General features: G+C 38.8%; 1 protein-coding gene across 3 annotated transcripts in view; it reads left to right on the top strand.

Annotated features, from left to right (window-relative positions):
- The window catches only part of RBMS1 (RNA binding motif single stranded interacting protein 1), a 221,657-nt gene that overhangs the window by 116,678 nt on the left and 79,700 nt on the right, over nt 1-25,279 (top strand). For all 3 annotated transcript variants that reach the window (NM_002897.5, NM_016836.4, XM_047445368.1), the window contains exon 2: nt 9,739-9,914. In NM_002897.5, the coding sequence (NP_002888.1) occupies nt 9,739-9,914 (176 nt within the window). The remainder of the gene's footprint in view (nt 1-9,738; nt 9,915-25,279) is intronic.

The following is a 25,279-nucleotide window of genomic DNA, read 5'->3' as shown; positions in this document are numbered from 1 at the left end:
TTTTGAGGTGGATCTTGGACGAAAATGTTAAAAAAAAAACCCAGCAAGCCCCATTCTCAGGCAGTATAGCTTAGAGACAGCCATCTCTTCCCCTCTATCTTTATTCACACACACAAACATGACTGTTCACACACGCAAACATGACACAGAAATACACAGATTGACCAGGCCCAGTGGCTCATGCCTGTAGTCCCAGCACTTTGAAAGGCTGAGGCAGGAGGATCTCTTGAAGCTGAGTTCAAGAGCAGCCTGGGCAACACAGGCAATAAAGTAAGATCCAGTCTCTACAAAGAAAGTTTTTATTTATTTATTTATTTATTTATTTGATTAGCCAGACGCGATGGCATGCTCCTATTGTCCCAGCTACGTGGGAGGCTGTGACAGGAGGATTACTTGAGCCCAGGAGTTTGAGGGTGTGGTGAGCCATGATTGCACTACTGCATTCCAGCCCATGAGGCAGAGCGAGACTCTGTCTCTTAAAAAAATAAAATAAGATAAATTAAAAAATAAAAAAAAGAAATACATAGACTGATATATAATAGAAGAGCTGTTCTAGTATCACTCACTTTCTCTAATTATTCATATCAGATATAAGCTACTAGATTTTACCATGAGAAAGAAACAAAAGTAGACAGTATTGTTGAGTTATATTAATTCAAAAAATTTTCTCAGTGATGTTTATACACAAAATTACAACATTGTCAGATAAGATTTTATGTTTTTAAGTTATTATTATGGGGAGATTGCAAATACTTGTTCAGTTTCCTGTAAGTACAGATAATGCTTTTTTCTCTAGGGGCTAAATTGTGAAACCCATGGTACTGCAAGGTCATTCACATGTCCCGCTGGATCTAAGAATAAATAAATAAGTTGGTTTTGTGGGAGTATTTTTTTTATAAGCTTACTCATATAAGTTTTCTAACTTAATATTTAATCACCTAATAATACTTTCAGTAAGTTTGTTTAATGTGGAGAAAGTATGTTTTTGAATGGGTATTTTCCACCCTGAGGACTTTACAATCTCAGCGGTAATTCATTACTTACAAGAAATACTAAGATACAGACTGTACTGTAGATAGACTTTAAAAAACAGCTGGGAGGAAGTTGTCAGCCCTGGAATCCTAAATCTACTGGGGTGAGGCAGGAAATGCATTGCAGAGGTATTCTGAACTGTCATGATAAAAGTAATGTTTCACTTCCCCTAGGAAGTTTTCTTTCTTTTTTTTTTTTTTTCCATTTATTTTGAGTAAAAAGTAAAGGAAGAGTTTGCTCTTGTCCCCTTCACAAGGCTCTGTGTTGAGGAAGAAAACTGGCATGGATCTGGAAATTCAAGGAGGAGGAAAACACTGCACACCTGCATTCAGAATTCAGAAGAATAATTAATTTTGCACCTGAAGTTGGGTGGGATTTTGTGTTTACTGCGTTCTAATTACTGTTTGTTTGGGCTGTAATTTATTTATTGTGTTGAATTTTCTTTTAAAGTGGTTTTGGAGCTGTTACAGGGTCCTTTTATATAGAAGAGATTGAATAGAATGTGAAATGTAACTCTTTATACTGATTACACGTTGAAACACAAAGATGGCAGGCTGCTAAGTAACATACAGTCTCTATAGATCTTAAGTTACTATGGTTATTTCAGCTGTAATATTGTTTCTACCTTAAGGATACTCTGGTTTCAGGAGCTCTTTAAGATTGTTTTTTGTTTTACATTTGTTCCTTTAGGCTTCAGTTGTTGTTTTAGGATAGCTTACATATTTAGAATATTTTCTTAGAATCACTTATGACTAAGTCGGGAATCCATGCTGGCCTAAGGGGCATAGGAAAATGGTGCCGCAGTATGATGTCTGTTGGTCTTAAGTTGCACGATGTCACAGAAGTTGGCCTTGGAGTCTGCCAGTTTAACAAACTCTTGCTCCATTTCTCTATTTGGCAGACAGACAAGAGTACTAAAGGTCCTGACTGGGCTCTGTCTTGATATGTCTTATCTGGAGATGGCACTGTCCAGCACTATCCAGAATTTTAGAGTATTTTGGAGCTGGAAGGAAGCTTAGAAATCATCCAGGCTAACCTGCTTATTTCACACGTGAAGACCTGAGCCTTCCAGGGATAATACTCATTCCTGCTCCTGGCCAGGACAAAACTTGAATCTGGATATTCTAACTTTTCCGTTCAATTCCTCCCCCCCACCGTCCCCCGCCCGAGATGTAGTTTCACTCTTGTTGCCCAGGCTGGAGTGCAATGGTGCAATCTCAGCTCACTATAACCTCTGCCTCCTGGGTTCAGATGATTTTCCTGCCTCAGCCTCCCAAGTAGCTGGGATGACAGGCGCCCACCACCACACCTGGCTAATTTTTGCATTTTTAGTAGAGACAGGGTTTCACCATATTGGTCAGGCTGGTCTCGAACTCCCGACCTCAGGTGATCCACCTGCCTTGGCCTCCCAAAGTACTAGGATTACAGGCATGAGCCACCGTGCCCAGCCAATTTTTTTTATTATTATTGTTATAAACATTATTTTTATAGAAGGAAGGGAAGTGTTTTTCTAGTTTTGCATTCTCCAGAAGCCATGCTCTTCATTTACTGTGTTTAAATTCTTTTCTACATGTGAGATTCTGGTAACCTGTGACATCATGTCCACATTCCACCTTGCTTTTTAGGTTCTTCCTACTACCTTTTTAGTACCACCACACTCCTACCCCAACATCAACTTGTGGGAGCTTCCTCTGAACCAACCAGGGTAATTCTCTGGCTTTTGTGAAGAATGATCCTTCCAGTCTATGTCCTTGTTGGTCACTCCTCTTCTTACTCTACCCACCTTTCTTTCAGATTTGCCATTCCTTTTATTGTTTTTGTTTGTTTGTTTGTTTTTGTTTTTGAGACAAGGTCTCGCTCTGTTACCCAGGCTGGAGTGCAGTGGCACAATCACAGCTCACTGCAGCCTTGACCTGGGCTCAAGTGATCCTCTTGTCTCAGCCTTTTCAGTAGCTGGGACTACAGGCGTGTGCCACCAAATTTTTTTTGTAGAGTCAGGGTCCTGCTATGTTATTCAGGTTGGTCTCAACCCCCTGGGCTCAAGTGATCCTCCCACCTTGGCCTCCCAAAGTGCTGGGATTACAGATATGAGCCACCACCCCTTTTATTCTTAATGACATGTCATTTGTATTCAGCTCACTCAGCCATCCACCCCCTCTGTGAAGCCTTCCTCAACCTTTTTGTCCCCTGTCTTTTCATCCTCCCTCCTCCCTGATCTTCCCTTGGTTGAACTCTATTTTTAGAAACTGTACTGTACTACACCATTATAAGCAATGCAATTAAGGGTAGCTAAGGCTGGGAACCCACTCTTAAAAGCTTTTCCTTTCTGATGAATGCATTCTCTGGCAAGGAAATTTTGAAATCATTGCCTTAGTCCCCTTACTTTCTCTTTTGGCCCTCTAGTTTTGTGGTGATTAATTTAAATTTAATGTCTTCAGTCTGGTATCTTCATATTCACACACCCATACCCCTTATAAATGCTGTTACAAAAACTAGATGGAACAAATTGCACAAAAACTCTTGTGTGTTTCCTGGCCCAGAGTTCTCAGTGGGCAACTTGGCGAGTCGCTGGAGTTCTTAGAAGAACTTTTGAAGGAAATAGAACAATTGGGCTGATAAGCATTCAGGAGCACAGAACCAACCCTTAAAAGATACTTGAATGATAAGGAATCTAATGTCTTGATGGGATCTGGAAGGAAATCTCAGTCAGTCATGTTGTATTCAACAATGCAAGTCTTAACTTTAATTCTTTTATCTGAAGCATAAGAAAATGATGGTTTATTCATGAACTTAGGTAAAGAGATTTCTATGTGGAGATTGCAGTTTTACATGCAAGGATCAACTTTGATGGATATCTTTGAGAATTAATTGTGAAACATATTGGGAATTTTTATTTTTAGGTTTTATTGGAATAGTGAAGGTAACATGGGCCCCTCTCCTTTGACAGGCTTAATCCAGCCAAAAAAAAAATTTAATACTCTATTGGTCAGTTTCACAGTCTTGAGAAGCTGCAAAGTTTTTTTCCAAACAAGGAACAGTGAAGATATGAGAACCAGTTTCATTAACTAATTAGCTATGTGATTTTAAGCTTTGATATCCTTGTTATCAAATGGGATTAATTGATTATTTCCTTAACTCCATGGTATGTATAAGTGAGACACACTGGCTGTGTAAAGGGGCCTTACTCTTCATTAATCTAGTAGCTATGTGTTTTTTAACATCCTGGCCTCAGGCATTCCTTCTCTGACCTATCCATAGGAGCAACTGATTCCTGGCCAGTTTCTCACCCCTCTCCAGTTCACCTCCCACATTTAGTTTTGTTTTTCCAGTTCCCTGTGCCAGAACTTCTCTTTCCAGCCACCATTCCCAGCCCTCTCTCAGTCACTCATATGGCCAAAAGGAAACAAAGAAAATGTTCTGACTGTAGTGATAACTGGCCCATGTGGGGGCCCCCCTCATTCCTTTTTGATAATTTATTTAAATTGTTAAATTCCTTTTACATCTTGAAAGCATACAGAGAGGAACTGGTGTATGGAAATAAGTGTAGCAGACATTGTCTTCACATAGTACTCAGTTCATTTCAGGCTTGATCTTATACTGTTTCCCTGTGAAAATGATAATGTTCTGTAAACTTCTGTCTGCTTTCAGGAGCAACTGTAGTGATTATTTTGCTTCTGGATGAAGGAAATAGTTGATGTATTAAACCAACCTGCTGTTTGGGATGGTGGTGGTGGTGGTCGTGGTGGTGGTGGTGGGTGTAGGGGCAACAGGGGTGGGAATGATAACCTTCTTGAACTATAAGGATGAAAACTTTAAAGAAGACTTGAAGAAAATTAAAGGGCAGGTCCTAGCTTTCCTTTCCCTTCAAAACGTACTAGAATTATTAGAGAAGTGGCTAAGTAAGGTGGGGGTGGGAAGAGGAGGACAGCTTCAGCTATAAGATTGGTCAGAGCACTGTTCTTTAGCCTATTAGTAATAGGAAGGAAATGAGACAATAGAATTTTAAATGACAAGTTTTTGTTTTAAAATTATCTTTGCTGCATAGAAATCTATAACAATGTACATGATTACTAATGTATTTTAGTTCACATGTGGTTAATTTTGTAAATGACCTTTAGATTTGTATTCATAGAGGAGAGACTATTTCTCTCTTCTCTATAGGGGGTGATGTGATAGAGAGGGAGATAGTATTACCCTGTGTATAGTTGCCCTGTGCCTGTTGTTGATCCTTTTAGTGTAGGAGGCCCAGTGGGGCTTCTGGCGGGAAGGAGGCATCAGTGTTGTCCATGCAGGAAGTGCTCCCTGATTGCTATCCATAGAGGAAGTCCTCCCTGAATGCTGCCCACACAGGACGTGCTCTCTGAGTGCTGTCCATACGGGAAGTTCTCTCTGAGTGCTGATGAACGCTCTTCCTGATGGTGCCAAACCACTCGTGCAGGAAAGGCTGAGGGTCTAATACAACCACCCCTTTATTCACGAGTGACTTTGTTTTCTATCCATTTTGGCATGCAAATTAAGCCCATATAAATATTATCAAGAAAATTGAATTAGCTTGTTTTCTTTGCCCTTGGAGATAGAAGAATGTAGTTTGTTTGCCTGACCTGATAACAGGAAAAATTAGGCTAGAGAAGGCTGAGAGACTACTAGGCTCTTTTGGGATGAGTGGGCACTTAGCATGCTTATCCAGCCACCAGGTCCCCTAATTAGATTGAATGTGTGTAAATAGTTGCAAGCTTCATCCATAGAGGGTCTTTTCACGTTCCAAGGCAGCTTCCGGGTTTTGAGAGGCAAAATGTAGAAGGACTACCAGTGATGAAAATGGAACTGGCTAAAATATTGTCCCTTTTTGTCCCTTTGTAAGCTTTTTAAAAATTTGTTTATCATTTGTGCTGCCAAGACACCTAATCTAACGCAAAGTGTAATTGCTGTAAATTTATCAGAGTTCTGAAGCTGTAATTAAAGGCTTGTCAGTATTTGCATTTTAATCTATGAATGAGGGTTTAATTTTTCACTGTTTTAAGTCACGTCATCCTAAAATGTTGACTCTAATGTTTAGCAGTAATATGCTGAAGCTTTCAGAAGTTGTTTGTAGAATTTATTCTTTAATGAAAAGATTTTTATAAAGTAGAATTTTTAAAACTGATTTTTTTAAGAGCTAATCTTTGTTTTTTTAATACTTAACAGACTGTGTGTTAATTAAGTCAACTTAAAGGCACCTTTTACTTTCTTAAAAAACATTAAAGGCACCTTTTACTTTCTTAAAAAACATATCTGCCAATGGTATTAAGTATCAAATTTCAGAGAAGCTGGAATTTGGTAATTAGTCAGCAAAAATGATGGGCACAGAAAATGAAAGAATACAAATAGAGCATTCAGGACATAGAAAGTGTTTTGGGGTCCCACGTAGAGTACTGTTTGAAGGCTCTGCTCTGGCTTTGTTTTCTAGCAGACCTGCGTTCAAATTCTAGCCCTGCCACCTTCTAAATGTGTGGCCCTGGCACATGGCCTAACCTTTTTTGAGACTCGGTTTCCTAATCTGCACAATGGGAGAACAATAACCTACCTGCCTGTCTGATTGAATTAAGTATGGTAATGTATGTAAAGTACTCAGCAGAGTCTGTATCTTTAGTAGAGACGGGGTTTCACCATGGTGGCCAGGCTGGTCTCGAACTCCTGACTCCGTGATCCACCCACCTCGGCCTCCCAAAGTGCTGGGATTACAGGCGTGAGCCACTGCGCCCGGCCCAGTTTCAGTGACTTCTAAAAACGTAATCTTGGGTTTAAAAATTTCTGCACCAGAAAATTAAAAATTGACAACCTAGAATAATTCAACGCTTCTCTCTTTCAGTTTTCTTTCTCTGTCTTCAGTTAGCCCCAAGAAAGAATTGATTTGGAAATAAAATTTGAATTTGAACTTTGTTCTGTATAGGATTCACCAGAGGCTAGTAGTCCTCATTGGGTACATTTAGGAACCCTCTTCTGCCTGGGATCAGATGCTGGGAGATTTCATTCCCTCACAGGGGAAACTTAACAGGGGAAGCAGGGAAGCACAGGCTGTACCTGCTTCCCACATTGGGAAAATACTGCAGTAAATATGGATGGCCATCAAATTTATATTAAACTGGCTCTGTAAATTCAGATATGTAAATCATAGCTGTATTTTGGCCAGAAATGAATACATAAATAAAAAAACCTACTACTTTCATGTCTAAATAATCTCCAACTAAGTCATACATCCAAATGTTTCTTTAATTATACAAGTGCATGCCCGCCACTCCCTTTCCACTCCTGGCAAAATCAAAGGTTCAAGTGAATGCAGTCTTGGAATGCAGTCTTTAAAATGCCTGATGGTTCATTTACTTCGTGTTGATGTAATCCCACTAAGAGGTAGGGGCGGGCCTGATCCACAGCTTCTTACTGACTTCTCCAAGTCTCATCCCAGATGACCACATTTCATCGCCCAACAGCTACGCTAAACATACTGGGTCCTACTGTGAAAACAGTGTGGCTTGTGTCAGGGATGGTTTCTGAGACACTAATCAAAGGAGGTTTAAGAGAAAATTCAGTCCTGTCTAGTTCTAATAGCTACAAGTTCTCTGCGTCAATCAAAGGCTTGGGACAGGAGGCAGGTGTGTGGGCTACTTTCCAGCACCTCTGTTCTCACTGATGTGAAAAATAGAGTAGGGCTGGATGGCAGGTAGCAACTCAGTGGCTTCAGAGAAGGAGCACAGGCTTTGTGGGGCATGGCCAGTGCTCTGAGGTGCCACCTGTGGCAGAGCAAGTGTCAGAATTTGGTCTTAGTTTTATATCTAGTAAGTAGTTAGCCCCTAGAGAAAAACTAGTGGTTTGGAGAAAGGATATGAGTTCAGCTGCTCATTAAGGGCATGAATCAAATAGATTTGGTAGGATATGATCTCAGGCTGCTTTTATTTTGGGATTAAGCAATACCGATGTTCCCAGTTCAAGTTCAGCCTTCAGTGAATAGCATTTCTGCATTGACTATTATTGACCCTTTGCTGCTCTCCTTCTAAAAGAGAATCTCTTTAAATAAAGTGGTGTTTGGACTCAGATGATATCTCAGCAAGGAACCTGGGCAGTGGAAGGAAGAATCTGAAGGATATAGGACCAGAAAAAATGGTAACATATCTAAATTAATGGGGCCAGGCACGATGGCTCATGCCTGTAATCCCAGCACTTTGGGAAACCGAGTTGAGCGGATCACCTGAGGTCTGGAGTTCAAGACCAGCCAGGTCAACATGGTGAAACCCTGTCTCTACTAAAAATACAAAAATTAGCCAGGCATGGTGTTGTGCGTCTGTAATCCCAGCTCCTCAGGAGGCTGAGGCAAGAGAATCACTGGAAACCGGGAGGTGGAGGGTTCCGGTGAGCCGAGATTGCACCACTGCACTCCAGCCTGGGTGACAGAGCGAGACTCCATCTCAAATAATAAAAAATAAAAATAAATTAATGAGATCCCCATATGTTGAGATATTATGGAATTAGGATGACCATGGCAGAAGCTGGGTACAAAACTAGGAATCTATAGTGGGCAACGGAGGTTGGTGACAAGGTAAATGAGGATATGCTTATTGTAAGGGGTCTGCTTCTCCAACTTTCCACTGTGGGATTTGATTTGTCTCCTATAGACATGCCTGACTTTCTTGTTTGTGCTGGTAAAAACCAAGCCATGAGATTTGAACCTTTTGACTGTCTAGTGACTATTTAATTTTGGATGTTCAAACTGTTCATGAGTGATGTCCTTGAGTTAGTACAGTATATTTATGATTTAGAAAATGTGAGGTGAAAAAACGTCCCTGTCCTGGTGTGAAATTGCTGCGCGTTTGCTGTGAGGACACTTGGGGTTACGTGCCCTTTTGTCTCAAGCTGAGCCATTTAACTTCCTCAAAGTCATGTGTGTGGCACTGGGTCAGAGAACTGTGGTTTCTTTCAGTCGGTGCACAGAGAATTATCTGGTATGAGTACAATTTCAGACATTCTTCCTAGGTGGCTGCCGACTGTAAAACCACACTGAGTCCTTTGGTTGCAGGCTTTACTTTGAGTTGTGGTGGGTGCTGCAAGCTGGGAAGTTTTCCAGCTTGGACACCATTCTCACAGGGGTTAAATTTCACAAGGTTAGCCAGAGCGAAAGGCAGCCTGCCTGGGAATCTTACCCAGATGTCTCAATGAAGTCGTGTGCCTGTCTTAGAACTAGGTGAGATCGTCCTTATTGGAGTATCTGGATTAAACTCTAACTTTCTTGTACTTGAGAAGTAATTTTTTTTAAGAGTCATCCTAATAAAATTTTAAGCAACTTTCAATCAAACGTTCTTCAGAATTTGAAAACCTTTTCAAAAGTCTAGTGATTTCTAAATTACTGTGTATTAAGATGGTATCATCTAACTTCATGCACGTTTTGAGTCTCAGATGTGTTCCTGAAAAATGTGTGAATAAATTAATGTTACATAAATTTAGTCACATTTAAGGTGCACATAGAGAACTTTTACTTAGTAAACCCTATTATCAATTTTATGTTGAAGGAGAGGGCTTTTTTAAAGTAGCATGAACAGACCTTTTTTAAAGTGTAAATTAAAATTTATAACTCAAAGTAGCTTAAAGTAATCTATATTTAAATCTTGGTAACTTCATTTTATTTGGTGTCAGCCTCCTAATGCTAGCATACTAAGGCTCCTGATCTTTGTTTTCCAGCAGTCTCTGGTCCCAGCCCACCCCATGGCCCCTCCCAGTCCCAGCACCACCAGCAGTAATAACAACAGTAGCAGCAGTAGCAACTCAGGATGGGATCAGCTCAGCAAAACGAACCTCTATATCCGAGGACTGCCTCCCCACACCACCGACCAGGACCTGGTGAAGCTCTGTCAACCGTAAGTAGTAGTTGTTCCTATTATTTTAGCTGCTAAGTATTTTCTTGATCATATTATAGAGTGATATATACTGCATTATAAGAGAAGTTTATAAGAAGTATCTGTGGACTCTCAGTGTCACAACAATAAAATGGGTTTCAAGTTTTAACTTCTTAAATACTTTTTGAGTCAATATTAACATCATCAGACTGGCTACATATCAAAATGAATTGGAGCATTTTCTCAATAGAATTTGACTTTATGGGCATATGAGAAGTAAAATATGAATTTTTTTAAAAAAAACTTATGGCTAGATATTTTTCAGGAGTTCTCATTTTTTGTGGATGCACCTCTGAGGGCCGGTCTATCCTATGAGAGGAACTTTAGCTATCATTGTTTGTCAGAAAGATTGTTAACCATCTAACGTCATACTGACTGTAAGCTCTTAATTCCAGCTGGGACCATATTAGTCTGTCCCCATTAGCATCCATAGTTTTGTGGTCTGGATTGTACACCCTCATCACTTTAGGAATAAGAACTCAATTCTGCCCTTTCAGAGTGTTCTGAAGGGATGTGTGCATGTGCATAAAGTTCCAAAGTAAATTTGCATTATATGCTAATGTTGTCAATGAATAGAATATAAATGTGCTTCTTTGCTGCAATTACACTAACTCACTAAGTAAGAAAGCACTAATTTTAAAACAAGGAGCCAGAAGCACTGTATAGTGCAAAGATCATTGTGTAAGGACTGAAAGCATCAAATTGCATCGAGCTAGAAAAGCCTACACATATAAGCGTACTTTTTATTTATCCTAAGACAATAATGGTCCCTTAAAGAGAGAATTTTGCATAACTGCAATAGAAGACTTTTGCTAGAGAATGTTTCCTATTACCTGAATTTCAAAACATCTGACTGATAACATCTCATTTCTCTTTTCCTGGTCAAAATCCAGATTCATTACTTCTTATTTTTTTAAGAAAAAAAAATTCAAAACTAACTTGGTCAGTTATTTCCAAACTGGAACTAAAAGTAACATCTGGCCTTCCATGGGTGGGGGAAGGAGTGATGGTTGTTGTGCTGTGTTTGTTTTGAAAGGGGAGGGGTGGGACAGCAGGTGGTTGCTCTTCAGGATCTGGAGAACTTTCTAGAAGGCCATCCCTCCCAGCACTCTCCCTGTGTTTTTCTCATGTCCCCCTTTTTGATCAGCCCTTGTGGACTTTGACTCCAGTCCTTGGCTTTTGGGGCAGTGAAATAATGTCCTGCACTAGCGACTGCTGTGAAAGCAAGCCCAGCTCTTGGGGTTTGTCATTGCTGGCTGGAGGCAGAGGGAACCCTGCCAGGCACGCCCTGCCCTATTGCAGCTGTTCAAGACCACAAATAAGCCTTTTGCTATCTCCTCTGCTGCTGGCCTTTCAGTGGCGTTGTCTTATGTTTTTGCAGCGTAATTACAGGTAGATAAGAGCACCATAAAGTCTAAGGAACTAAAAATATGACTGTAAGAAGCAGAAGAATGGACGTAACTCTCAAATTCATGAGGTGTAAGAGAAGAGGAGAGGAATTCAAAAAACAAATTGTTCTTCAGCTAGTGTTGAATTATGTAGGGTGAGTTTTGATGTCAAGGAGACAGTTAACCCTAAAATACTGGAGTAATGCCATGTTTTATATACAGTAAATATGTACTTGAAAAATTGAGTCAGTAATTTTTTTATTGAACTGAATCATATTACAAATGTGGCAGAAGAACATTTTATCATTTTTCCTAGAATATTCATTTCTTTTTTGTTGTTCTCTTTGACATGTATGGATTTTCTTAACGTGTGTAAACATTACTCTCCTTGCTATTATCAATAGCAGCAATAACGCTTTGCAGCCCTCACTCTCTCCCGTCACTTGCAAAGGAAGGCTCTTGTACAATCCCAGGTTTTATACTGAAGTCTGATAATAGTCTTCTTGATATGTACCATGCAGAGGCAAAACATAACAATAACAGAAGAGTCTATCTCAAAATTTGCTGGAAACTTCATTCCATTTAACACAGAGAATCTAGTAAATACCAAATTTGACTTGCTGAGAGTTTCGTGCCTTAGAATGTAGAGAAAGCACAAAAGAGCATTCCTGTTCTGAACTTAATTGTTTCCAATAAAGAAGAGCTAGTTGGTGACATAGAAGTGACAAGAACCTTATGAGGAAGGGACTCATGCTAGAGCTTAAAAAACCACTGGACATAATTAGAGATTTTTAGAAAAGTAGGTATCAGAAACATCTCAGAAAAAAAGATATAAATCCATACCTCTAAAAAAGAAAAGAAATACTTAGAACTAAAAATTTAGCACTGTAATTACAAATTGACCTGGTGAGGCTGAATTAGGGGGGTAACGAAGGAAACAAATGATTTGGCTCTGCAGGGGGCTTGGATATTTTAGAGGATTATTTAACAGAAAGATGGGGACAAGCCAGGAATGTTTATCATGGTGGCCCAGTTCCATACAAACAGTGCATGAAGTCCAAAGGCAAGTATGACATGAAGATTTTAAAAACTAGAGAGGAAAACAAAAAATATTTTTTAAAAACTGTGTTTGAAGTAGAACATAGAGATGCTGTAATGTTAGAGGCGGTTACAGTGGAAAAGCAGATGTTGTGATATTGAGATGACAGGGAAAGGCAGCCCCACCCAGACTCGAAAGAGGGAGTCATGACCCTGGAAAGTGTAGATCACCCTGGCTAAGAGGAGGAGGCATGTGGGGTAGGAGCTCAGACTGGAAGCCAACTAGCCTAAGTTCCTGATACAGGGTGGTGACAGTGCTGTCAGGTAATCTGGATTGAAAAGAGATAAATTTCCTAGAAACATTTAATGAAAGATGTCAACCAGCTCTAGTTAACTTCTAAATTGTGAAACACGTACGAGGAATCTTGGAACCTTGACTGCTGTAGGCTGCTGCAACTTTGCTCCCTATTTCTAAGAGGTTATCTATTCACAAAGAAGATATCAGTACAGTTAACCAGCAAGTTCAGGAAATGGAACAATCCAGGTAGCCAAAAGGATTCATCTACTATCCCTTGGCCTAATTCTCTTCCTTCTCTGAAATCAAGCCAAACAAACACTCTGCTTGACCGTGCTTATCTGTGTGGTCTATTTGTCATATAAATATTTGCCAATGCAATATTTCTCTCATTGAGACTTCTCAGGCAGACTGTTTAGATGGATGAATTGAGGGCTCATGTTGTGTCCATTTTCTTGACATCTTAGCCATTTTTATTTTGCCTTCAGACTTTCAACTGAAACTGCACTAGCATCTTAAATATCTCTTATTTTCCCTAGCTTTTTTTTTCACTCTCATCCCTCTCCTGCTCAACTCTCTGCCCTTCTGGTTTCTGTTTTCTTGGCTGCCTCCTCCATAGTCCCATCCTCTGATAGGGTTATTCTCCACTCTTTCTACTTTCCTGCACATTTTCCATTTGAATATTTTATTTGTTTTATTTTTACCTCATACTCAACCTCAAATTCAAAATATCCTTTCTCTCAACACTGTCTCTTTTCCAAATTTACTTTCTTAAACATGAAGCTTTAGGAAAGCTTTAGGAGTCAGCAGCTCCTTCTCTTTGTCCCTTTGTCACTAAGTTTTGTGGATTCTTCTTTGGCCCTTCTTCCTTCTTCTCCAGCCCTTCTTCCTTCTTCTCCCTACCAGAAGAACCGGCTGACTCCTCCCTCCCTACAGTGTGACAGGAGAACCATTTGCTCCTCTACTACCTCCCATCCGGTGCCTCCCCTCCCCATCTCTATTCAGCAAGGCCAGGTCCAAACGCTGTTTGCCTCCTTTGTGCTTGGACCACACCAGTAACTCTCCTCTTTATTTCTAAATTTTTATGTATTGCCAGCTCATAATCAGCATCTTATTTCCATATAGTTCTGTTCTCCAAGTGCCTGTTACATTACTTAGCCACATGTCTGTGACAGTACATGATGCTAACAGCGTATCATCTTAAACAGATTTGTCACCCAGACTACAAAAGCGTTGTAGTCAGGATTGCTGGGTTTGGTATCCCAGAGTTACCTAAAAGTGCTAGGCAAGTTCTGAATTCTCAGTCAACAGACTGTAAAATAGGTCAAATAACGCTATTATCAAAAATTGTGATAAGCATTAAATCAAATAATGTAAGTAAAAGAGCTGGTCCAGAGCCTACAACACAATTGTCTCTGAACAAATATTAGTATCTCTTGTTTCTTCCATCCTTGAAATTCTGCTAGAATAAGCTTAATTTATATTGAATTGTACATTTAAAACAAAGGAGGAAGAAGCTCTACCAGATTTTGATTTTGAAAGCTGAGAAAGCCAGGGAAGTAGCTTAATGCTAACATAACCTCCAACCTCCTCTTCCTTGAGGCTTTTTTTTTGGGAGGAAGGGGTACAGGCATACCTCGTTTTACTGTGCTTTGCAGATACTGCTTTTAAAAAAAAATACAAATTGAAGGTTTGTAGCAACCCTGCATTGGGCAAGTCTATTGGCATTTTTCCAATAGCATATGCTCACTTTATGTCTCTGCGTCACATTTTGGTAATTTTCACTATATTTCAGATTTCTTCATCATTATTATGTCTGTTGTGGTGATCTGTGATTAGTGATCTTTAATGTTCATTGTTTTGGGGCACCACAAACCATTCCCATATAGGACTTAATCAATAAATGTTATGTGTGTTCTGACTGCTCCACTGGCTGGTCATTCCCCTTCTGTCTCCTTCTCCTCCATTTTTCTCTGAGATATAATATTGAAATTAGGCCAAATAATAGCCCTGCAGTGGCCTCCAAGTGTTCAAGTGAAAGGAAGAATCTCCCATCTATCACTTTAAATTAAAACCTTTTAAAATCAAAATTAAGCTTAGTGAGAAAGGCATGCCAAATGCCGAGACAGGCCGAAAGCTAGGTCTCTTGCACCAAACAGCCCGCAAAGGAAAAGTTGAAGGAAATTCAGAGTGCCACTCCAGTGAACAAATGAATAAGAAAGCAAAACGTCCTTATTGCTGATGTGGAGAAAATTTGAGTGATCTGAATAGGAGATCAAACCACCTACAACATTCCCTTAAGCCAAAGCCTAATCCAGAGCAAGACCCTAATTCTTTAACTCTGTGAAGGCTGAGAGAAGTGAGCCTTCTCTCTTCAATGCTATGAAACAGCATTGCATGCTATAGAGAAATCTTTCATGAAAGGAAGAGTCCATTGATGCAGCAATCTTCATTGTTGTCTTATTTTAAGAAATTGCCACAGCTATCCCATCCTTCAGCCGCCACCACTCTGATCAGTCAGCAGCCATCAGCAGCAAGGCAAAATCCTTAACCAATGAAAAGGTTACAACTTAGGCTGAAAGCTCAGATGATTGTTAACACTTTTTTATAATAAAATATTTTTTAAGAGATTGGGGTCTCACTGTGTTGCCCAGGCTGGCGTGCAGTGGCTATTCTCAAGCATGATTGTAGTGCACTGCAGCCTTGAACTCCTGGGCTCAAGTGATTCTGCCTCAGCCTTCTGAGTAGCTGGAGTTACAGGTGTGCACCACTGTGCCTGGCTAATAAAGTATTTTTAAATTACGGTATGCACACCGGGCTTTTTTAGACATAATGTTATTACATAATAAGCTACAATATAGTGTAAACATAACTTTTACATATGCTTGGGAAACAAAAAAATTCGTTTGACTTGTTTTATTGCAATACTCGCTGTATGGCAGCGGTCTGGAACCAAACCTGCAATGTCTCTGAGATATGCCTGTGTTTGCAGAAGAATTGTTGCAGCCACATGCTACCCACCCCTGATTATTGCTCATCATAATAATTACTGTGGCATGTGAAATATTCCATTATGTCCAGCCTTTTTTAAAGATTTACAAATAGCATAGGTGTGCAAGATTTGGTAATGGCTCTCCCTGATTTGTAGTGGAGTAAATGTCTGAGAGTCTCTGTTGGCCAAGGCCGGGTATCTTAAAGGTTGCTGTGGTATTGACATCATATGCAGAGTTCTAGATAACTCAGTGTAGCAGTAACTTATTTTAATGGAAAAACCAGTGACTTGATATTAAAAGAAAAATCTCTACTCTTTGCGTCTTTTACAGACAGCCCTTCCTTCATTCCTAAACCAATTCTTGATTCAGTAAATTTTTAACTTGTTTCCAAGTGCAGTAAAACATATGACTTTAATAGAAATGTGAAATTAAATCTAGCTTATGATATGATAGCCTGTTACTATTTAAAATGAAATATTTTTGAAATGTAATCTGTTTCCTCATTTATAATATTCAATACATATTTATTTTCTGTCCCTATGTTTTATTTTCTCTGTAAGTTTTCCTTGTGCTTTTGAACACAGCACAGATCTTAAAAGGTGAAACAGTAAAGCAAGACAGGTCAGCAGAGAGACAGGATAGTATTATCATCAATGTGGTGTACTGGGAGAAGCCAGAAGAAAGCTAACCTTGATGTGAAGGAATTGGGGTAGCTTTCAGGAAGGAGATGACATCTCAGTCTTAAAGGACAACAAAAATTTCATGAAGGGTGAAAGCAATAGTATCCTCCAGGCATCAAGAAGTGCCCAAGAGGTGTGAGAACCCTTGGATGTTTAAAAAGGCACAGAAAGGGCTTCTTGGTGCAGAGCTGGCACTCGGCAGTTGTTAGTTACCCGGGGTTCCCATGACGGGGTGTCAGTGGGTGTAAAGGAATATGAGGCTGGAGGTGTAGGTTGGGGGCATATTGTTAGCATCTTGACTAAGACAGTTAACGCTAACATTTTAGTTTGGAGTTTATTCTTTAGTTACAGAGAAAAAGTTAGCTGTTGGAGTAGAAGAGTAGCATAATGAATTTCTCTCCTTTCTTTCTGTCTCTCTCAGATGCTAATTTTGACAAAAGTAGGAAGAGTGGATTGGAGAAGGCAAGGACTCTCATAGGTGAGAGGGAAGCCTCTAGTTGCATTAACTGGGAGAGAGCACACATGAAAGGCACCGACTTTTAGTGGTTCTCTCTTAGTCCCAAAACTCCAGCATCTCCCTGTGTTCCCCAGATTTGACCATGCTTTTATTTTTGTTATCTACAAATAGGGCCCAATGAACCACTTGCTTTTCTGAAACCACTAGCTAGTTTGTTGAATGCTGATTTAAATTATTTTTTGAGACAGAGTCTCACTCTGTTGCCTAGGCTGGAGTGCAGTGGTGTGATCAGCTCACTGCAACCTCTGTCTCCCGGGTTCAAGCGATTCTCCTGCCTCAGCCTCCCAAGTAGCTGGGATTTAAAAGAATATTTTAAGTTATTCTTACTGTCATAAGAAATTAGGGCAACTAACAGGAGAAGGACAACTTGAAATGGTTATATTCATTATTTGTACATCTCCATTGATCTCTGTAATACTAAGATTTCTTAAGCAATCCATCTGCTAAAAGATGTTTTCTCTCCACCCTGAAATTAAATAATCATCGCTTTTATTACAAAATGATTAGGCTACCTTTAGGGTAAAATTTGAAAGTGAAGGCATTCTAATAAATTAAATAGTTTTTTGATGCTTAATCAGCTTTTACCCTATTATGAAGTTACCTTCAACATTTACTCTGAAAGGAGCAATGGGCCCAACAGACCCAGTGTTTTGAAATCTCTATGTAAATAGGAAATCCTTTGGAATGTATAGAAATTACCTGAAATAGGAGAGCCCTTATTTTCAATACAAAAGAATGATCCTATGATGAGGTAGGAAAATCATTCCACCCAGGAGGGACTCAGTTCTCACTTTTAAATTGAAGAGAGAATTTTGAGTTAGGGGACCCAAGGTCAAATGACTTGACTCAGTCCAAAAAGCCTGAACATACCCTTAGTTATTACATTTATTTTAGAAAGAAAGAGACACACATGCTTCACATGTATTCTACACAGGAGTATTCAGATTGCTATGCAGATGTGACAGACATAGACCAAAGGTTTCATTGCCTGCATTCGGCATCATTCTAAAGCAACGCCTCTGAGTCTTAGAAACCCGAAGCTCTTCGTGTAGGGTTAAATTAGAGGCTAATATAAGGAAATAGCTTCTCTTTAAGATATAATTTACCCTTTATGTGTTATCTTCCAAGCAAATTGAAGAACTGTCTTACTGCTGGTGATGGTGATAGTGGTTATGGTGTATTTAACTCACAGGCATTACAATAAAATATCCACAGATGATTTTTTCTTTGGTAGCTACTACATCTCAGATAATTGAGATTAGGACATATTGAGCTATATTATATTGTATTGTAGTTGTTTGAATTTTCTGTTTTTTTTAAAATGGTATTTTACAAAGCTACTGAAATCTGTATCTAGTGAATTTTTATTTCTTATATTTCTTTGAGGGTCGAGGAAAGAAAAATAAAAGTAAACAAAAACATAGGGTTGTGGGCAAATAGTTCTTCTCTCATTAAGTGTGTCCTTTAAAAATTAAAAAAATAAAAACTAATCTTTATTGACTGGTAAAAAATGTTTTAGTCTTCCCAAAAAGTGAAAATTGGGTTAAAGTGATGAGTTTTCTGCAGTTACTTATAGAAAATGCATTCCATTTTTGTGTCTATTACTATTATATAGCTTCTTGCACCCATTTACAAATTTTGTTTTATAAATCATAGGATTTCTTTTGATTTCCAAATGTTTTTGTTCCAGAAAACAACTCATTTTTATCTTCTCAAGTTCTTTATTCATTGATCTAGAAGATTCTCCATACATAAAATATTAATAACAGTATTTTCTGGAACTTGGCTTGCTTCTGTTATTGCTAGCATAATAGGATGACACATAATAAATGACACAATGAGGGCTTAGACCAAGGAACTTGAGCATTTTGCTGAAAAGTGTGATCTATACGATGTGCAGTTTACAGAATTTGTCCCATCGTAAAAAGGAATGCCAATCTGCTAAGTCAAAATGTTGAGTCACTGATTGTAACTCAATTCTCTCATCATGGACAGTATTCCAGTAAGGTTCCATGTTGAAGAGTTTAACACATGATGCATTTGAGACTGAGCAAAACACAGAACCTTCGCAATCATCCCCCGTCCCCTGCCCAATAAATGGACACCAAAGCAGAGTTGAGAGCTTAAGAGCAATTGTGTAATTAACTGAATCTTCTTCCCATTCATCTCTTGGGTAAGCGAAATATAGAATCCTTTTCTTTTTCATGTTAGTTGCATCATTACTTCTCTTGGTTTAGAAGATTGTTGGCACTTTAAGTAATACTTTATGTACAGTACTTCTTTGACATACCAAGGTATGTAGTCTGAAGACTTTTGGAAATCCCCAGATTTCACAGAAATAATTTTAGCATCACAGAAAAAGAAAATCCCATGAAATAAATACCTGCTTCCCAATAGAGAACCATCTCATACCTCTGTGTATACTTTCTTCGATTTTATCATTAGAACTGTCAGTCGGTTTGTCTTCTTAGGGGGTGGCAGTTTTCAAAAATTAACACAGTGTTTAATCCCCTCTTGAAAATTGCTGTGTACACAATTAGAACAAAACCTTATTGAAATATGGACCTTAGGTAATGGGCTATGCTTCTTCACTGGCTTCATAACGTGCTCTCCTCTGTGAGAGTATCCACAATTCAAATGTGTGCTGTTGCAGTATTAAGCATAACTGCACGTCAGGGAATTTTAATGTCATCCTGAGTTGTTGAAACCTCAAATATTAATTATTACCAAGTACCTACTTCATACATGCATTTGATATTTTGACAGAAAATCTCAGTTATGTCTATTTTCTAATGTATCCTTAGTATAAAATCTGCTGGTAAGCATGGATATTTAGAAATTTAGCCAATCTTCGTTATTGTCAGTTGACCTTTTTCTTTAGGGTATCTTTTTGTTACTCCTAGGCATGATAAAGAGCCATTCTGTCTTCTAATGCCCAAATACTGCACACAAGCTGTTGGCAAACCCGTTTTAATATCAGCCTTAGCAGAAGTTAATTGGGGAGCCGGCACTGGAAATAATTATCATAACCATAAGAATTTTTTTAAAAATCACCCTTTCCTTCTCTGTGATTGAAGATAGTATTTACATCCTTTCCTTGTTCCTTTATATGAGCCTTGGATTTCTGTAGCAGCAGCTTGGGGATATTTAACCATTATACGAAGGTGAAAGTACTGTCATCAGGAATAAAAGCCTCTAAAATCTTTATTTGGCAGTTGTGCTTGGTTTTATGTAGAATTTCCTTATTGAGTTACTGTTGAATCTCAGAAATGTATAACTTTTCCCTTCATCTTTAGTTCATAATAAATGCATGTGAAAAAAAATTCTGTGTAATGTGTAAACATCTAAATAATGCTAGCAGCCAAAAATTGTCTAATGCTTGTTGTCTCCCGATAACTATGCCAAGTATTTTATTATTTAACCCTTAGAAGAGTTTTATGAGCAAAATTATCATCTCTAATTTTCTGTCTTAGTCTGTTATCTGCTGCTATAATAGAATACCACAAATTAGGTAATTTATAAAGGAAAGAAGTTAATTTGGCTATGGTTCTGGAGGCTGGAAAGTCCAAGAGCATGATGTTGGCATCAGGTGAGGGCCTTCTTGCTGCTTCATAACATGGAGGAAGAACAAAATGAAGTTGAAAGATATTTCTTTTTCTTATTGCTTAGGATAATACAGCTGATAATGGTGGAGCCAGAACTTAAGAATGGACAGTCTGACTCCAGAGCTCATCCTCTGAACCACTGTGCTTTCTGCCTCTCCAAGTGTACCCTGAATGCTACTTTATTAACTTCCTCTTTACCTCATCAGCACCCTTGCTTCCTCATCAGCACCACAAACTACAATAGACTAATTTCTCCAGGACCCTAAGAGATATTGGGCCATGATAGATTTAACAAGATTTTATTAGAAAAAGCACCTTTTCTTATGTCCACTTGAATAGCCAATAAAATAAAAAACTCAAAATAAAGGCAGGAGGATAGAGGAGGAACCTGTCTTTCCTGACATCTAGCAAAATAATCCCTTTTAGCATAGCTGGTCATATGAAACTCAGCTCCTGGTTAGCTGTCTAATGTGCAGCTCCCCAAGATTACACAGCATAGAGAAGGTATCCAACTTGTCATTTGCTAGGCGCCTGAGAGGGTTTGTGCATATATGAAAAGAAACAATTTTTTAGGGGTCACTGTCTTACAAGTCCTAATACTGCTTTAGAAAATAATGGGCATATAAGAACATTATAGTTTTGCTGTAAGTATAAATCTGATTAAAACATAAGATCAAGACACTTCGGGGAGAAGTGAATGGTGAATCCCATTTTTTTTGTAATTTAACAAATATTTATTAGACATTATGCCAGTGATTTTTCTAGATACTGCACTGAGACATTTTCCACCTTTAAGGAGGTGTAGAAAATGAACTTCACACATAATGTAGATCAGAATGTGAGAGATAGAAAGTTACTACTGAGATTACAAAGTAGGGAGTGATTGCATGTGATGGGGGGCATCAGGCAAAGTTTGGCATTTGAATGAATCTTCAGGATGAGCTAGGCAGCCCCACCCCAGCACTGAAGACAGGACTAGCTTGCCTACCTGCCCTGTCTGGTATTCACTGATGCCATGATGGGGGGAATCTTTAACACCAGAAGAGGACTTGTACTTCACTGAGAAGGTGGGTGATACATGCTGCCCCAAGGTTTGTCCTTGATAGAATGTGGGCCAGAGGGAGGGTAGAGGAAGAATGTGGTTCAAAGATGAGTATAAGATTTGGAGTCTTAAGAAACTGGGAATTTGATATCATTAACAAATATAGGGATCAGGAGAAAGAGTTTGTTTTTATTCTTACCTGGAAATTCTCATCTACTCTCAGGGGAAACTGCAAATTGAGTGCCTGTTTGCTTTATGAGTTAGTGTACTTTTGGTGTGGCTATTAAACAGAAAGAAGTAATGCATGAATTCCAGGCTGTTGAATCTTCAGTGCAGAAGAGAGACTAGTAATTAAACATTCTGTCAGCTGAAACAGGTGTTCTGTTTGTTTATTACTCACTGATTATTTATAGTGGATTCGAAACTCTCAGTCGAGATAGCCTGTATGGTCAGCAGTGATCTCCAATACTTAATTATTTTCTTAGATGTTTATACTTTGTTTTAGGTGTATAAATTATTTGAAAAGTTGTTTTTTATTTAATAAAGTGTTTGCAACTCCCTTGATTAGAATTGTTTGACTTCAAACTGGAGACTTTTGAGACGAAATTTCGTGAGAGAGCCGTGGAACTGAGTGGGAGGAAAGGAAGATGAGTTTCCATAAATGGTGTATCTAGAATTAGCGAGAAAGTAGACTCACAGCACAAACAATCCTGACCAAGTTTATGGTGCTGCCAGGGCACATGGACTTTCTCTCCTCTTGCCTGTCTATGCGCTTACTAACTTGGCCATGCCAGACTTAACGCTTGTCTAAATTGCTTAAGGGGCCAGGACCACTTGTCTCCCTCATTTTTTCTTTGTGCCATAGCATCTTCTTGCCTCTGTTAAGTGTCACATGTTAATAAAGGAATCTGCATGGGAGATCAGCATGTGTTTGAGTATCAGCATTTGCATGTACAGCTTTAGATTTCCAGATTTACAAAGGACACTTTCCTGCAGCATAAGGACTAGTTCTTTAAAGATGAAACAAAGAGACATTCATTTGTGGTCCTCGAAACAAATTGGGCCTGCTAGCCCATTTGGACAGGAGCACTGATGCTTTCCAAGTGGGCTTCCAAAGTGTTTCATCTTCACCTTCAAAGCCAGGCCATAAATTGTGGAATTGTTTTCACTGTCCCTTAATATGAGGCATAGCTTTTGCTCCAATGCTTAACCTATTTCAATGCCCCTGTGTAGCTGGCTAGATAATATTTTGTTTCTTAGATTTTCCTCCACCACCCCTATTCATTACCCTTAGTTTAAGTTTGACAGCATGCAATTACCTTTTAAAAGCCATACTTATTTAATTTTGGCTCTGATTTTTGAGGCACAAGAATTTGAGCATTTATTTAATTAAAAAGTTTATTGAACTTTTTTCATCTCTAGTCTGAATTACAGAACTTTACATCTCTTCTAGTCAAGTGGCTGTTAACGAGGAACACGCACCAGAATCAAAATTTACATGTCAGGTCCTTCTATAGATTCAGGAGTCAGAAGACAGAGAGATACTTAATGGAGAAACAGCATAACAGGCACTTATACTAAAGAGCACAGGCTCAGAGCTTTCCACCTGGCCCCGCCTCTTGTTTGAGCAAATTTCTCAACCTCTCTGTGCCCCAGTTTCCTTACCTATAAAGTCGGGATAATCATAATATCTGCAACGTAGGGTTCTTGTAGGGACTAAGTGGGTTAATGTCAAGTGCTCTGAACACTTTTGGCATGTATTAATGTTACTGCTACTGGGAAGCTTTTTTAAAGCTTCTAATGGTCAATCCCAGTTGAGAGCTTGATTTCGTCTTTTTATGTTATAACTGAAAAAGCTGAGGCTCAGGGAAGGTTAAATGACCTTTTTGGAGTCACAAAACTAGGAAGGGGCAGGCTTGGGAAAAGAGTCCATATCTCCTGAAATATCCACTCTTCTTGATTTGCCACTTTACTTTTCACAAGTGAATGTTACACTTAACTCTGCTCTTTATCATGAGGATGAAATATCTGTACTTCAGTTTCTTGCCAAAGAACTTAACTTTGTCCTCTCCACTGGGCAGGTCTTGACACAAGCTCTTCGAAGAAATAAGATTTATGAAGAATTGTATGAAGGATTTGGAGTTTCTTTGTTCATCACAGAGCTTCCCAACTTGGCAGACAGAGGAAAGGATAATATTTGTATTATGTTATATTGGCATTGAATTAGATTATGTTGGATTGCCACCTATGGATGAGGCTGGTCATTGCTGGAGGTGACAGGCCCCACCCAGTCTCCAAGGGTTGACAGAATCAGCATCTCCTGACATGTTTAAGAGAACTAGTCCAGCAAGTGTAGTTTTAAAAAAATGTTCAACAAAACTATATACAAAAATATTTATAAGTGGTATTTTTAATTATATGCTTTATAAGTACAAATTTACATTTATAAACTTATCAGGGAGAACAGTGAGACAGTTTTGATAAACTCAAAAATGTGGATAACAGTTGCAGAACAGTATCAGTAACATACCTAATTTATTTCTGTATTTTGTTTTGGTTGTATGACATTTGGAAAATCCTTATGCAGCTGCAAAAGGTTTTAATTTTTAACAAGCTCATTTTGTCTTGATATCCCCTTGAATTAATCTTAATAGAAACTGGAAATAATTTTTTTGCCTCAACATTGAATTCATAATAATACAGCTATTCACGTGCCTCATAATAGATATAAAAGTCAGACCAGAAGCACCCAAAACTTAGCATCAGTACCAGTCAATGATGTCACTTTATCATGATGCAACGCGGTAGGCACTTTAGTATTATACAGCTGTCTATTAGATCATGGTGAGGGTGTGTGCCAACTAGTTGTACCTGCTCTTGGCCTGGCATTTGTTTGAGCATGATGGATGTGTAGGTCATTTGTACAGTTTTATATGAACGGACATGTGCAGACTTGAATTTCCAAAAGAATACCAACGCAGAGTTACAACTTTCCTAATCGGTGACTCACTTATACAAAGAGATAGCAGGAGATACATTTGTCTAGTGTCAGCACTTGAAGCAACTTAATGTAGATGTGGTCATCAGTAAGTTAACATTTGTTGTGCTATATATTTGCCTGCATTTCCTATTATTTGTTTTTGTACTTAAAGGCTAAGAAGTCTTTAAATACAAAATATTCATATGGAAAATTGATGGAACCCCTAAAGTACTTCTTCAGAGCCTAATTTGGTAGCCACTGTTCCAAGGAATGTGCCATTTATCCCTGGATGCAGCAATATTATCAGAAAGCCTTGTGCATTAACCACATAGCTATTTGCCCTTGTAGAATTCCAGTACTTGGGCCCCAGGTGATCCCTTGACCGTGCATTGCACATAGAGTATGGCTTTTAGGAGGAACCACAGGAAGACGCTCCTTCCGGCATTAGAGCTGGGAAAAACAGAACTTCTCTTAAGCCCAGGACCTGGTTTTACTCTAATGAATACTCAATTTCGTAATGTTGTATTTCCCTATGTTCACTACTAAGAAGTTATGAGTCAGCTTTGCATCCAACATTAGCAGCTCTGCAGGATCTCACTTTCAGGTTCATGTGTCTGTGGAAAAACTACTCCTGGGTTGATTTTTTCTTCACTTACCTTGAACTTTATATCTATTTTTGTCTTGTGGTGTTGCATATATTTTTGCCAGCAGCCTCAAACTTTTTGGGGAAAGAGGTAGAAGCAAATGTTTCTCATGCTCTCTGTTTGACTACCCTTAAAATCACAGAA

This window comes from Homo sapiens, chromosome 2, assembly GCF_000001405.40.
Source record: "Homo sapiens chromosome 2, GRCh38.p14 Primary Assembly".
NCBI classification, from domain to species: domain Eukaryota; kingdom Metazoa; phylum Chordata; class Mammalia; order Primates; family Hominidae; genus Homo; species Homo sapiens.
The sequence above is the reverse complement of the archived record's forward strand: the minus strand, read 5'-3'. Positions and strand labels throughout refer to the sequence as shown.